The following is a 15,317-nucleotide window of genomic DNA, read 5'->3' as shown; positions in this document are numbered from 1 at the left end:
AGCACATGCCTGTAGTCCCAGCTACTTGGGAGGCTGTGGTGGAAGGAGTACTTACTTGAGCCCAGGAGTTTGAGGCTAAAGTGAGCCATGATTGTGCCACTGCACTCCAGCCTGGGCATCAGAGCGAGAACTTGTCTCTAAAAATAAAATATAACTACTCAGATGCATTCCTGCACTTCACTGGTATAATTGGAGGGTTTATTCAAGCCTGTAGGCAATCATTCAATATTAATAGAGCCCCACCAGAGGTAGGGAACATAAAACTTGGCTTTATTGATAAGACGCAAACTGTTGAATAGCTTTTTATAAGTTTAACATGCTATGAGTGATGTGCTGAATGAACCCTACACATCACCAGCTCCAGGTAGGCGCTGCTGAGTTGAATTGAGGCAGACCTATTGGTTATACTCACGTTTACTCTGTCACTACACAATTTTGAGTGTGTTTGTTTAGTGTTTCTAAGCTTATTTTAAAATTTACAGTCAGTAAAAGTATTTTTACTTGGCCTTTTCCTAATTGCAGGTATGTATCTCTACGAGTTAGGAAATATTGCTCAATTTGGTTACCTAAAATAAATAATTTGTGGTCATTCGAATTCTTTTTTTTTTTTTGAGACGGAGTTTTGCTCTTGTTGCCCAGGCTGGAGTGCAATGGCGCCATCTCGGCTCACCGCTACCTCCGCCTCCTGGGTTCAAGCAGTTCTCCTTCCTCAGCCTCCCGAGTAGCTGGGATTACAGGCATGCACCACCACGCCTGGCTAATTTTGTATTTTTAGTAGAGACAGGTTTCTCCCGGTTGGTCAGGCTGGTTTCGAACTCCTGGCCTCAGGTGATCTGCCCGCCTTGGCCTCCCAAAGTGCTGGGATTACAGGCGTGAGCCACCATGCCCGGCCTCTACTTTTTATTTCTTATGCAAGTCCAGTATAGAGAAGTTTATGACAGTGAAGTTTAAATTGTAATAAAATGATACAATTTAAATTTTTAGTAGCGAGTTTTGCTCATTTTGTATTTTACATTAAGAATGGCATTCAATTTTGTGTAGTCATGACATGGTCTGAAGTTGACTGTTGCTTTAAGGCAACTTTTTTTTTTAAATTTCAGAATTCTGGAATTGAAAAGGCATTTCTATTTGATGTGGTCAGTAAAATTTATATTGCAACTGATAGTACTCCGGTGGATATGCAAACCTATGAGCTCTGCTGTGATATGATAGATGTGGTTATTGACATCTCTTGTATTTATGGGTAAGTACAACATTCTTAAAGGCCACAATCAAGCCATCCTTCCTTCATAACCTTTCAGGCATTTTGCATTTACATTTACTTACTTAACTTTAACATTTTTGTCTTAAATGACTGAAATCTATAAATAAATATACCAGTTAGCATGCAATAATAACAGTTATTGAGCAAATGCCACGCATTATGCTAATCTCATTGCATGCTTCCTATTATTTATTTCAATTTTTTAGCAATAGGGTGTCCCTGTGTTGTCCAGGATAGATCACTCCTGGGCTCAAATGATCCTCTCACCTCAGCCTCTCGAGTAGCTGGGATTATAGGCATGAGCCACTGTGCCCAGGTTATCATTTAATTCTCAACTATTCGATGTGGCAGGAATTACATTTGACCCTTGAACAACACAGGGGTTGGGGTACCAACCCTTTGAACAGTCAAAAAGCCACATATATTTCCCCCCTGACAAACTTAACTATTAATACTAATAGTCTACTGTTGACTGGAAGCCTTACCAATAACATGAATGATTGATTAACACACATTTTGTATGTTATGTATTACGCACTGTATTCTTAACAATAAAGTGAGCTACAGAGAAGAAATTATAAGAAAGAATATATTTACTATTTATTAAATGGAAGTGGGTCATCATAAAGGTCTTTACCCTCATTGTCTTCACATTGAGTAGGCTGAGGAGGAGGAAGAGAAGGGGTTGATTTTGCTGTCTTAGGAGTGGCAGAAGCGGAAGAAAATCCATGTATAAGTGGACCTAGGCAGTTCAAATCTGTGTTGTTTAAGGTCAACTGTAGTGTATTCACTTTACAGATGAAAAAACTGAGGTTCAGAGTGGTTACATTTCTTACTCTTGCTCACACTATCAGTAAGGATTGGAACTGGAGTTTCAACTCAGATCTGATTCCTGATCCTCTGCTGAAAAAAATCTGTTAACATACCGTTCTTAGAAAACAGAGCTTCCTATACACTTAATATAAAATAAACAAGGAGTGGGGGAAACTGATTATGTTACCCGATGTAGAAACAATTCTACATAATTATAAATGTGCTGAACAGGTGGTGTACAGACTGACTAGGTGTGAACTAGTTGTTCATCTTATTAAGATGTTAAGGTGTTGCTATCTGTATTGTATCTGACATCCTCATCTAATCGATGAGGTAAAGCTTTTGCTCATCTTCCTCTTTACTCACTGCCTGTGACCTGCCTTACACAGCTTGACGCTCTGCCTTTCAGCTTTTGTGAGAGTCTAGTCTCCATTTTTCTCTTCCATTGCTTAAAAATCCTTTGCCCACTCAGCTCGGATTCTCTCTGTTAACTGTTAGACACACACACACACACACACACACACACACACACACACCACACACACATGGAAAGTGATACTTACAAGATTGTATTGAGGATGAAATATCATTAGGCTCATAACGTGCCTTTACCTGGTAGACTCTGGATAAATGTAGCTGCCATAATTTATTATTACTGTTATAATTAAACGCTGACATCTGGCTTTAGAAATAAACCTTATTGCCCAAGATTACTGCCCTGAAGCATTCTATTATTTTTAAACCGTTTAAATGGATGACCTTGAAATAGTCATGGAAGATGAACGCACCCTGATTACAGTGCAGATTGCCATGGTAATCAAGTACAATGAACAACACAATTAATCTGGCACATGCTTAACAATGTGCATGATCATTATTGTGCCATATGGTCATTAGCTGTAAGTGGTAAGTTGTTCATGTAAATGATGTTAATCAGAGTTACTTTTACCCAGCTAAAACAAACATGGGGAGGGAGGGGTTAGGAGGAGGTGGCCTGGCTTTGCCGTCAGATTGGTTTTTCTGTGGTGGAGTACAGTGTTCTGAGAACCCACAGGATTCAGTAAGAACCAGTCTGGGTCACAGATGGTTTGTGGGCTCTGGGGTTTCCTCAGATTGTTTGCTGGAGCAGCAACAAGCCAGTCCTGTTAACCAGCAGGAGGCAGGGTTGTGTGCAGAGCCTGGGGCCCTCTTAGGCAATGAGGAAGCAGGTGCCCTTGTAACTGGAGGCCTTGCTGCCCCTCCCCACCTGCCCAGTGGAGACCAGCAGGCCCTAGAATCAGGTGACCTGGTGCCTCAGGAATCTCTCAGCTGAGGCTGTGCCCCAGCTGGCAGCTCTGTGCTCACTCATGCACACACATGCACACGCACATATATGCACACACACATGCACACACTTTAAAATATGTTCTATCTTCATGTGTTTTCATTGCTTATAGATGAAAAACTTGAGTAGTAAAACAGTTTTTGCAGTTGCAAACCTCATCAATTTCTACTTGTAATTTTTGGTGGAGTCTGTTTTTCTAATTTGTTTAATGTTTACCTTTTTCTGATTGTGAAAGTAATACATGCTTATTGCAGAAAATACATAAAAGTCTAAAGAATAAAATTAAAGTAGCCCATAATCTCACCACCTAGAGACAGTCAGTGTTTACATTTTATATAGTTTGTTCTTATTTCCATGTGTAATTTTTAGGATAATGAGATCACATTTGTATGTGAAATTTTTCATCCTGCTTTTTTCATTTAACATTACCACCTGATAATTTTCCTGTATTATTAAATGCTGTTAATAAACAGTGTTTAATATCTATATAGTATTATATTTACTTGGAAATTTTAAATGCTATTTTCTTCATTGGGTAAAACATGTTAAATGTTTCAGTTTCTTGTTCTCAGAACATTACTTATAAGCAAGAGAGATTGAGCCTTAAAATATAGTAGTTAAAACAGTGCAATGGAAGTTAATGAATTCTGTTAAAGCATCTTTAACATTTGATGTCCAGCACTTAAAAGGTTTTTCTTTAATGTTTTGGTAGGTTATAGTGAGTTGAATCCTTTAAAAAAAACAAAAAATACGAACTTCCACAATTTACTTTTTTTTTTTTTGAGATGGAGTTTCGCTCTTGTTGCCCAGGCTGGAGTGCAATGGCATGATCTCGGCTCACTGCAACCCCCGCCTCCCGGGTTCAAGTGATTCTCCTCCCTCAGCCTCCCGAGTAGCTGGGATTACAGGCATGCACTACCACGCCTAGCTAATTTTGTATTTTTAGTAGAGACGGAGTTTCTCCATGTTGGTCAGGCTGTTCTCGAACTCCCAACCTCAGGCGATCCACCTCGGCCTCCCAAAGTGCTGGGATTATAGGCCTGAGCCACCGTGCCCACCCTCACAATTTACTTTTAAGTGGCCATGTATATGGCAGCTTAAAATACTCTCAAAACTAAAAACCTACATTTCCTAAAAATACTCTTGTGCAATTCAGGCTTTTCATTAAATCTGGCTTGATACTGTACCCCCTTGTGTATTTACAGGATTAAAGCATTAACTTTGAAATTAGCCATATCTAGGTTTGAGGTCCTGACTTTACCCCTATCGTCAGCTTTGACCAAGTTATCTTATTTTCCCCTAGCCTCAGTTTCCTTAGAAACTTAGAGGATTCTTATAGCAGACAGAGGATAATGCATTTTAAGAACTAAGAATGGTTAATATCACATAGTAAGCTTTAATAAATGCTAGTTCTCAGTGAATGTGGTAAGGTTTAACACAATTCCAATTAAGTCAAATTTCTGGTCAGTTATTCATAAATTTGGGGAGTAAAAATAAATCAGAAAATTTATGTACAGTTTTAGGTAAGGGGGAAAAGGTTTAGGGAAGTGTCCTTTGCCTGTGAGGAAAGGATTCATAACACTTTTATTACACAGGTATCTTCAGAGGGTCCAGTTTCAGTCATTAAAGCCATGATAATAAGTGTGTATTTTATGTTCTCAGCATTATGCTTAGTGCTACATATGCATTATTTCATTTAATCTTCATTAGAAAACTTTGAAATAATTACTGTTAGTGTACATATGAGGAAATTGAGGCTCAAAGAAGTTATTCGACTTGTCCAAGCTCACATAGCTAGCAAATAAAAGAAATGAGATTCAAACCCAAGTCACTTGTGTCTGCACACCACACCTTTTCTTAAATAGACCTATATATCTTTTTTTTTTTTTTTTTTTGAGACGGAGTCCTGCTCTGTCACCCAGGCTAGAGTACAGTGGCACAATCTCGGCTCACGGCAACGTCTGCCTCCTGGGTTCAAGGGATTCTTCTGCCTCAGCCTCCCGAGTAGCTGGGACTACAGGTGTGCGCCACCACGTGGTGCCTGTCTAATTTTTGTATTTTTAGTAGAGATGGGGTTTCACCCATATTGGCCAGGCTGGTCTTGAACTCATGACCTCGTGATCTACCTGTCTCCCAAGTGCTAGGATTACAGGCGTGAGCCACTGCGCCTGGCCAAATAGACCTATATATCTTATTTAACTCTTTATTTTGAAAAAAAGTTAAAACCTACAGAAAATATACAAGGGTAGTAAAATGAACTCCTGTATAACTCTTCACTGGGATTCATCAGTTTTTACCAATTTGCCATATTTGCTGCATCTCTCTTTTTCTAATACATATTGTGTATCTATTTCTTTTCAGTGAACCATTTGAGAGTAAATTGAACCAGTTCACAGTTCAGCAAATTTAGCATGGCTACATTATTATCTAATATATAGACGATATTCAGATTTTACCAGTGGTCCCAATTCTATCTTTTATAGCAGTTTTTCCCAATTCAGGATCCAGTCTAGCACTTGGCTTTCAGGTCTCTTTAGACTCCTTGAATTTGGAACATATCTTCAGCCTTTCTTAGTCTTTCATCAGACCACGCTTTTGACAGCCTGGCTATTCTAGGTGAGAAAACAAGAAGCCCTTGGCCACGGAGGTGGGGAGAGCTAACCTCATCCTTCAACTGGCTTCTTCAGGTGCCTGGAGAGTGTCCCAGCTGCTGCAGACAGCCACTCATTGTCAGTAGGAAATGACTGTTGAGGACTGTGTATGTTTTTGTGCCTGTGTGTTTCTGAGCTCTTTTGCTGAAAGGCACTGCAAGTGTAAACAACTTATGATTATCACTTTTTGTGGCTTAAAGCCGGTCTCTTGTCACTGGCTTACAGTTTCTAGTTCTTTCTCAATGGTCACATGTTTTGGTTTCTGTCCCCATTTAGTCTCAAAGAAGATGGAGCAGGAACCCCCTATGACAAGGAATCCACAGCCATCATAAAGCTTAATAATACAACCGTGCTTTATTTAAAAGAGGTGACAAAGTTCCTGGCTCTCGTTTGCTTTGTCAGAGAGGAAAGCTTTGAAAGAAAAGGTAACTTTTTGGTGTGATTTAAAAGAAGCATTAAAAGAAGCATCAGACTGCTACTGCATGTATTGTTTGTTGAATGTGGGTGGACAACAGCATAGCCCTCGAAACTTCCAGATGCCAGTCACAGGCCCTCTTGGCTTGGAGTTCAGAGCGGGGCGGGCTCCTGCCCCCAGTGTCAGCTTCTGGGCCAGTGAACTGGCCTGCCCTCTAGTGGTGCATCTGCGATTGCAGCGAGGTGGAAGTGGAACCCCATGATCCTCCCAGGGGCCTTGGCATCTCTGCTAGGGGGAAGCTAGTTGGGGCACTGTTGCCAGGCTGTGAATGAAGTCTCTTACCAGGGAGCAGACTCCCAGCCTATACTGAGGGTGGAGGTCTCCACTTTGCTCCACACCTCTAGAAGGTCTTAGGTAACCGTGTGATCTTTTGTTCTTCCCATGTAAAGGAGGGGACAACAGGTGGTTTGACTTCTGTTCAGCCTCAAAATACTTCTTAAATCTTCAGAACACAGGGATGGCATCATGATTCCGGAAAGGGAAGACCATGAATATATTTAACTCCACCAAATTTTTTTTAGGATCAAATTCAGTTTTATTTTGAAACAAAAGCAATTAAACTAATTTCCCCCTTCTATAATATCTAAACAAAAGTTACTAACAGAAGTCCCTAGCTTACTGATATGGCTAGGGACTTTTGTTAGTAATAGGGTATGGTTTACTAATTTGTTGGGTAAAAGAAAATCTCCAACAAATAGTTACATATCCTGAATATGTTATAGTAACATATCCTGAAATAGCCTTTTTCTTCTATATTATAAGCAATATAAGCCCATTAAATTAAAAATGCTTTGAAAATTTAGGAAAGTATGTAGAATAAAACCAGGTATTTCACCATCTAGAGCTAAACCCATGTTAAATTTCTGGGATTTTCTTTCTCCCTTTCTCTCTCTTTTTTGAGACAGGATCTCGCTCTGTTACTTAGGCTGGAGTGCAGTGGCACAGTCATGGCTTTCTGCAGCTTTGACCACCCGGGCCCAAGTGATCCTCCCACCTCATCCTCCCATGTAGCTAGGACCACAGACACATGTCAACAACCTGGAATTTTTTTTTGTTTTTGGTAGAGATTGGGGTCTCACCATGTTTCCTAGGCTGGTCTCAAACTCCTCGGCTCAAGTGATCCTCCCACCTCGACATCCCAAAGTGCTGGGATTAAAGGAGTGAGCCACCACGTCTGGCCCTTCTCTCTTATTTCCTCTCCCTCCTACCCTCGCTCCTTTTCTCCCTTCCTTCATTCCTTTTTTTCCTTCCTTCCAACAAAACTGGGGCCATATTGTCTAATATAGTTTTATATTCTAATATAGTTTTATATTTAATACAAATATGAAAATATTTATATTTTATATTACATATATTTCACTTACGTATATCATGAAATTTTCCTAATTCATTGGCCATGAAAACTTAATTTACATTGTTTATTTTTATCAGAAAAGTAATAGATTCTTTTAGAAAATTTAGAAATAATATTTAGCAAAAAAACAATAATTATCGATGTTTCTCATTCAGATAACTACTCTTAACATTTCCTGTATACTTTTCCAGTCCTTTCTTGCATATGCATTTTCTAAAAGGACTATGATAGATTGTATGATGAATTCTACTTTATAACCTTCACTTAAATTATTACAGACATGTTTCCAATTCACCGTCTTTTTTTAACCACATCATTTTAATGATTGTATTAGATTCTTCTATTTTCAGACATCTATGTTGTTTCTAGATTTTAATGTTATAAATAATATCATTATGACCTCTTTTGCACTAAATATTTATGTGCATCTTTGGTTGTTTCCTAAGGAAAAATTTAAAGTGGAATTACTTAGATCAAAAGGGTAGGCCCATTTTGGGGGCTTCTAATGCATATTACCAAAATGTTCTTCAGAAAGATTTTCTGGTTTTATGCTGCGAAGAGAATATGAATACTTATTTTGCTGTGTTCTTATCAATATTGGGTATTAGTATTTTTAAAAGTTGTTAACTGAAAACTGGTATATTATGTGAATTTACATTTTCTTGCTGCTTAGTGATGTCCTGTATTTTTCCTGTGTGTACCATGACTGACCAAATTGCCTTTTGTGTCCTTTGGCCTCAGAACTGTAAATTAAATGGTGTTCATCTTTTACTCCTTATTTTCATCTTGCTAGAAACAAGAACAGATTATATAATAGATCACGGAATTTTAAAGATAGACAGGAATACACCTTGTTTCACCCTCTCATGTCACAGATGATTTTACTCAGGCCTAGAAAATATAAATGACTTTCTCTCAACATCACACCACCACTTTATGGCAGTCAGGGCTAAAGGTTGCTGGCCTCAAGTGATCCTCCCTGCTCAGCCTCCCGAAGTGCTGTGCTGTGCCTGGCCTCCTGGTGTGCCTGGTGCCTGGGTGTTTTTATTGTGCAGCTAGGGTTGAGAACTCCTGAACCAGAGAAGGATGTGGGGCCTTATGAACTGTAGGTGGGGTGAAGAGAGTGTTTATTTTGTTTATGTCTCTGTTCATGTATTTTCAAAAACTTTTCATGAGGGTTGAAATAGCAAACACTGTTTATGGATATTTACTGTCTTTAAAAAGCCTCAGTTGTGAACTTTTACTTAAAATTCCAAACACAGCAAGATTACTGTTACATTTTGAAATGTGCAAAGATATGTAAGTTAAGGTTTGTCAAGAACAATAGGGGCGGGTGCCAGTGGTTCATGCCTATGATCCCAGCACTTTGGGAGGCCAAAGTGGAAGGATTGCTTGAGCCTAGAGGTTCAAGACCATCCTGGGCAACATAGTGAGACCTCATCTCTAGGAAAAATTCAAAAATGAGGTGGGAGGATTGCTTGAGCCCAGGAGGTTGAGACTGCAATGAGCTGTGATTGAGCCTTGCACTCCCACCTGGGTGACAGAGTGAGACCCTGCCTCAGAAATAAGAACAGGATATGTCTGAAATTTCCCAAGTTGAGTATTTCATTGTACCCTTCTCATTGAGCCAAGTTCTTTTAGCTAAGCTTTTTAAGACAGTTTGTTGCACATAAAAGCAGAGAATCTTGAGGCTCTCACATCTCATATTCAAATTGCCATTTAAAAATCGTTCCTTTGCTCCTTTGTTTTTATTACTTTTCCCCTTGCTTGTGACATTGGTCTTTCCTTGAGGAAATTGACTCCTGGTTTTACTGCACTAGTGGTTCACTCTCTCTGCAGAAGCAGCAGAGGGCACTACTCAGAGGTTTTCCTGCTCCTGGAAACCGAGACGGTGCCCTCCCCGCCCTCCCCTTGCAGTTAGTTGTATAACTAGTTTGAAGAATTTAATCCTTGGCCGGAATCCTAATTCTTCCTTTGGACGCGGCTCTAGAAGCATCCACTGATAGATAGAAATAATTGTTGGGCTAGTTATTTTAATAAATTCAAAGATAGTAAATAGAACTGACCACCTTATCCTAATTGGTGTAAACATAATGTTGCTCTCAGGACTTTTACAAATTACTAGTAATGATGAAAAATGCACTCATCAAGACTTTGGATTATCTTTTATTCTATTTTTTGTGTCACTGATACATTTCTGAAAACACAAGAAGATTCCCTCCTACTATTTCTCCACTTAAAATACTTAATACTGAAAAGCTGAGTGTCATTGGTTGTTGAATTTCTGCTGGAGTTGGCGAGATGACTGTTAACACTCTAAAATTAGGGGCTTCGCTTTCCCTCGGGCTTATGAGAATGGTTTAAATATAATAGATACTCAGTAAATATTTATTGATTGATACACAGCTTTGGGATCCCAAGTCAGGATCTGCCTCTACTCAGTCTAATAATGCCCTTTGGGGAGAAACATTTTTCATTACAGATTTCTCTTAATTGTAAGAAATCTTTAATTCTGAAAGGTTAAAAAAAAAGTTCAGTTCAGTCGTTCTTTAAATCTTTTGGGTCATAGGAACCTTTGAAAATATGGTCTATGCTCTGCAACCTTGCATCAGGAAAAATCTTCCTTCACAAGACTTTGCCTATAATTCCTAAAGATTTATAGCAATTTCTGAAGGCCAGCTGCAGACATCCCAGGGAAATCTCTGGTCCTTACGCTAAGACCATCCTCTACTGCCCCCTACTGGCTTGTCCTGGCCATGGGTCCCATGAAAAGATGGAGATTATTTCTACGTGACATTTATAAATATTTTTGTTCTCTTCTCCAGGGCTAATTGACTATAATTTTCATTGCTTCCGGAAGGCCATTCATGAAGTTTTTGAGGTGAGAATGAAAGTAGTAAAATCTCGAAAGGTTCAGAATCGGCTGCAGAAGAAAAAGAGAGCCACCCCTAATGGGACCCCTAGAGTGCTGCTGTAGGTGAGGTTTCAGGAATGTCTTTTGAAATCAGACCTTATCCATGAGGCTGCTGCGCCATGTTGCACTAAAGGAAGAGGAAGAAGGAGATTGGGACACATACCATTGATTTGTTGTTAAAAAAAAAAAATTCCTGCAACCCTCTTGATCTTCTCTTTTATAAATAAAGTAAGCACTTTGAAGCAAAAACTTGTATATTAACAGTGATGTGAAATCCATTGTCATTTCATTACACAAATGTAAACTTTTATGGTCTGTAGTCAAAAAAATCCCGTGTGAGAACTGCCAGGAATTGTACATATTTTGCACTTTTTCATGTTTCTCATTGAACTGAACTTTGATAAAACGACTTTTCTAAGCTTTTTTTCTGTACTTGGTGTCAAGGACATGCATACTGTAGTCCATATCTATATGGCAATCAGAAATTAATCAAAAAGTGATGCATTGGTAATGACTTTTTGTAAATTTGGAAATCTTTGCTACCAATTGTTGAGAAAAATCATTTTTCAGTGGAGCTGGAACAGATTGGAGCTACAAGCTCCAGGAGCAATAAGAACTGTCCCCTATTTATAATGGGTGTAAACAGTTTTGTAGAATAATGCTAGCACCAGACTTACCTAAAAATTTCTATAGCAGTGGCTGTGCTTCCCTGCTCAACGGTTTTTATGAAGCTGTTTACCTCAACACACATCTCTATAATCACTTTATACAGAGAGGTTATTTCTTTTTGTTGCATTAGTATTCTTTTGAAACTTTGGGACCAGATTTCCAAAATGGTGCCGAACACTGGAGAGAAGTAAGAATGTCACTGAATTGTAGGGTTTCTGGAGGCTTTTCTGTACCTACCACCCAGGGCTAAAGTAACATCAGAGGCCTAAAGTTGTTCCAAAAGTATGTGATTGGCAACTGCAGACTAAAAAACATAGATACAATTCTGGACTTTTGGCCCTGTGCGATGGTCTGGTGTGCTGCATTTAAAATGCTTATTCAGGACCAGTTCTTTATTGCTCCATGACCATAGTGAATAGAACAAATCGCAGAACCCCACCATGGAGCTCAATCCTGTTAGTCACTTTTGTCACCTCCACATCTCCTTCTCACTGGTGATAACATGCCTCATGTACTCCACTTGTTCCCACCTTATGATTAAGCCAAGCTCAGCCTGCCACCAGCATGCTCTGCAAGGCTGAAGAGTCATCCTGAAGACCCCTAAAGGTCAGTGGGAAAAGGATGGCTGGAGAGACATTACAATTAGCTGTGTAATTGTTTCTGTGAAATTATTTCACTTATGTTTACTTTAGACTAACAGGAAATTAAGAGTCCTAAATCTACCCCTATGCCAAATCATTCCAAGTAGATAATTTTACGTGCATCTCAAGGGTTAGCACCCTAAGGCATGCTTGTGGGGCATTAGAAAATGAGATTTTTTTTTTTTTAAAGCAGAGCCTCCTAAGAACATCAAAGTTGGTCCTAGCAAAATATATAAAGTCCCTAAAGCAACTTATACTTGAAACTTTTTTTTTTTTTTTTTTTAGAGGGGGGCCTCATTCTGTTGCTTGTGCTGGAATACATTGGTACAATCATAGCTCACTGTTACCTCTTGGGCTCAAGGGATCCTTCCACCTCAGCCTCCCTAGTAGCTAGAACTACAGGTGTGCACAACCACGCCCGGCTAATTCTTAAATTTTGTTTTTGTAGAGACAGGATCTCACTGTGTTGCCCAAGATGGTCTCAAACTCCTGGCCCCAAGCAATCCTCCTGCCTTGGCCTCCTCAAATGCTGAGATTACAGGCCTGAGCTACTGTGCCCAGCCTAAACTTTCCCACTTCTCTCTGTGGCTTCTTTCCAACCTCTCTCCTTCCTCTCCCCAAGTCCTGTTTCTTTGAAGCTGGTAACTGAATTTAAGATGATATCTGGTTGGTGTTTAAGGTTTGAGCCTCCCAAGGTTCTGTGCATTTTGAAAGGAGATTTCTAAAAATAATTAAGGTGCCCTAACTCCTTTCCTCATGATTCCTACTCCGAAACCTGGATGGTTAGGAGCCCAGGGCTCCCTGATTTCCAGAGCTATATCCTGTTGGACCTTTGCCAACAGACCTGACACTTAGGGGTTATTGTTATAAATCTAATTCTCTAATATTTTTTACATGTTGTTTCACTTTGAATAAGCAAATGAAGAATCAGTTTTCTAATATGACTTTATCCTCAAGCTAGAGACACTAGCCTATTTGGTAAATCACACATTACTTAGGTATATTTATTACTATAACCAGGTTGGAGCTTCCATGTTTAAGCTGGGTATATGATGGGTTTTTGTTAAAATGTGCCTTAAAAAGCCTATTACTTCAAGAGCAAATGATTCTTTGGGGGAAAGGCAAAAATAATTCTATGACATAGGGCCCAAGTTCATGGTAGTAAGTGTACTCTTTGATTAATCACACGCTAATATAGATTACTGCCTCTAACTTTGTAAGTGTGGCAATGACTTCTTAATTAAAGAAAGATGCAGGAGTTATGTCTAAGCGTTCAGTTTTTCAAATCTGTGTTATTGGAAATGTCTTCAAGTCATTTTGCATTGTATTTTTGATATGAGAGGCAGCTTATTGCGATGTGTATGGCCATGTTTCATTCTCAAATTTAATTCTATAAATACAAATCCTAAATACATGGCTACAGCAACTGCACTGGAACATTTTTGCTTGGTTTTAGGGATTGAGAACTTGCCTTGCAGGTTTCCTTCCTCAAAAGGAGCAGGGCAGTCCTTTCCCTGTTGAGTCAATTAGAATTTTTACATAGAGGTGAGACTGTGAATTATTTTGGTTATTTTCAGTGATGTAGATTAGTGTGAATGACCAGGGTGGAATGTTTTTGAAGGAATATAAAGCAAAAACTGGTTGACATTCACAAACTGTTCTTTTGTGAACATATTTTGGACCCTTAAATATGACTAAAATCACAGCAATATTGTTACATACGGGTTATATGCCAACTCTGTTTGAAATATACTCTGGAAAAACAGCTGAATTGTCTTGGTTATTAAAGTATGGTATGTATTCAACTTGTACAGACTGGATGTAATTTGTAATCAGGTATAGTCCATGTTTTACTTTAAGCAGTACATCACTTAATAACCATTGTTAAGCCATTGCTTTCAAGAATGTTAACTGCCAATTTAAAAGCATGTGTCCTAGGTTCATGCTTTGGTAAAGCTCTCATTTCAAGTGTATTCATAGCTAAGCTTTCTGGGAGCAGAATTGTCTCTTTGGTGAAAAGGAAGTACAGCCTTTCCTGTTTCTGAGGTTGCTTACCATACATGTATGTCACTGTTTCATTGGCCCTGTTACATCCATTTGGTAAAATTTATTTGTCCTGATTAACCAGCTCTCATTTTATGGAAATGATGATAAATCTCACTACTTAAATTTAATTTATGCTTTTATTTTTAAACTCTCTTACATCTCCACATTTTTGATGGGTACATGCCAGTTAGGGCTGTAGAACTGTTACTTCAGTAAACTTCAGATATTAACTCTTGCTGCTGTGGCCCTAATCCCCTAGTCATATGGAAATCCTTTTCCTAACAGTTTACCTTATCATTCTTAACTTTGCTTAGTAAGATTCCATCCTACAATGACCTTTTTCAGATCCCCTAGGAGTTCTCAGAGAGGGGCTAGCATTAGATGTTATATCTCAAATATGAAATCCTGTTCCTGGTTGGAAAACCTGATCTGAAATAATTATTTCCAAGATTTTCCATCAGTAGTGATGTTGAGCTTAAGAGAAAGAAAATTTTGTCTTCAACAGAAGTATTTAGTAATAACAGATACTGATTGAGTACACACAATATGCCGCAGGCACTGCTCTGAAGTACTTTTGCATAACTAAAATTCATAAATCCAAGAGGTAAGTACTGTTACCATTTCTATTTTTCAGATGAGGCAACCAAGGTCAAAAAGATGAAATAATAACTTGCTCAAGATCATATAGCTAGTAAGCCCACTTTCCCAACTACAACTATAAGCAGCTTCACCAAATGTTTTAAAAAAAATACCTTCCTTTCACAAATATGAAGAGGGGCACTTAGAGGATTTGTCTGGTGGACTAAGACTATGGGGTGTGCCATGCCATTTGAGGATGCAAAAGGAGGGCGGTATTCAGGAGAGTGTGTCAGAGCCCACCAGATACATTGGAGTTTATCCACCTAAACTACTAATTACTACATGGGCATGAATGCTGGCATATTGAGAAGTACCTATTCTTACATGAGCTCCCCTGGCATATTTATAGAACCAATAGGAGCAGTCTTCTAAATGTACTTCACCCAGAGAAGAAAGTCAAAGATCATGCATTTTTATTCCTAACCCATTAAATAACTCTAATGCTGAAGATGGTATTAAGTGTCTAAATATCTAAAGAAAATATAAATACCTTTTATAGCCATTTGGTTTTCTAATAGGCAATAGTA

The 15,317-nt window shown here is 38.8% G+C and overlaps 1 protein-coding gene across 1 annotated transcript in view, besides 7 other annotated features; it reads left to right on the top strand.

Annotated features, from left to right (window-relative positions):
* The window catches only part of RRAGD (Ras related GTP binding D), a 47,658-nt gene extending 33,360 nt beyond the window's left edge, over window positions 1-14,298 (top strand). The window contains exons 5-7 of the mRNA NM_021244.5: window positions 1,101-1,243; window positions 6,329-6,477; window positions 10,707-14,298. Coding sequence (NP_067067.1) covers window positions 1,101-1,243; window positions 6,329-6,477; window positions 10,707-10,858 — 444 coding nt within the window. The 3' untranslated portion in view covers window positions 10,859-14,298. The remainder of the gene's footprint in view (window positions 1-1,100; window positions 1,244-6,328; window positions 6,478-10,706) is intronic.
* Window positions 2,816-3,316: an enhancer, noted in NCBI's record as "H3K4me1 hESC enhancer chr6:90085317-90085817 (GRCh37/hg19 assembly coordinates)". NCBI's record gives its function as "activates a minimal SCP1, AML or CMV promoter by ChIP-STARR-seq in naive H9 embryonic stem cells {active_cell/tissue: H9 hESC(naive)}" and the evidence as "EXISTENCE:reporter gene assay evidence [ECO:0000049][PMID:30033119]".
* Window positions 3,317-3,817: an enhancer, noted in NCBI's record as "H3K4me1 hESC enhancer chr6:90084816-90085316 (GRCh37/hg19 assembly coordinates)". NCBI's record gives its function as "activates a minimal SCP1, AML or CMV promoter by ChIP-STARR-seq in naive H9 embryonic stem cells {active_cell/tissue: H9 hESC(naive)}" and the evidence as "EXISTENCE:reporter gene assay evidence [ECO:0000049][PMID:30033119]".
* Window positions 5,911-6,030: an enhancer, noted in NCBI's record as "active region_24826". NCBI's record gives its function as "activates an Ori minimal core promoter by ATAC-STARR-seq in GM12878 lymphoblastoid cells {active_cell/tissue: GM12878}" and the evidence as "EXISTENCE:reporter gene assay evidence [ECO:0000049][PMID:35858748]".
* Window positions 6,401-6,620: an enhancer, noted in NCBI's record as "active region_24825". NCBI's record gives its function as "activates an Ori minimal core promoter by ATAC-STARR-seq in GM12878 lymphoblastoid cells {active_cell/tissue: GM12878}" and the evidence as "EXISTENCE:reporter gene assay evidence [ECO:0000049][PMID:35858748]".
* Window positions 6,401-6,824: a biological region, named in NCBI's record as "Sharpr-MPRA regulatory region 13381".
* Window positions 6,530-6,824: an enhancer, noted in NCBI's record as "tiled region #13381; HepG2 Activating non-DNase unmatched - State 12:CtcfO, and K562 Activating DNase matched - State 12:CtcfO". NCBI's record gives its function as "activates a minimal TATA promoter and a strong SV40 promoter by Sharpr-MPRA in HepG2 and K562 cells {active_cell/tissue: HepG2 | K562}" and the evidence as "EXISTENCE:reporter gene assay evidence [ECO:0000049][PMID:27701403]".
* Window positions 10,648-10,877: an enhancer, noted in NCBI's record as "active region_24824". NCBI's record gives its function as "activates an Ori minimal core promoter by ATAC-STARR-seq in GM12878 lymphoblastoid cells {active_cell/tissue: GM12878}" and the evidence as "EXISTENCE:reporter gene assay evidence [ECO:0000049][PMID:35858748]".
* Window positions 14,299-15,317: the final 1,019 nt, after the last annotated feature.

The sequence above is a fragment of the Homo sapiens genome, chromosome 6 (assembly GCF_000001405.40).
Source record: "Homo sapiens chromosome 6, GRCh38.p14 Primary Assembly".
Classification (NCBI taxonomy): Eukaryota; Metazoa; Chordata; class Mammalia; order Primates; family Hominidae; genus Homo; species Homo sapiens.
This window is presented reverse-complemented; position numbering and strand designations above follow the sequence as displayed.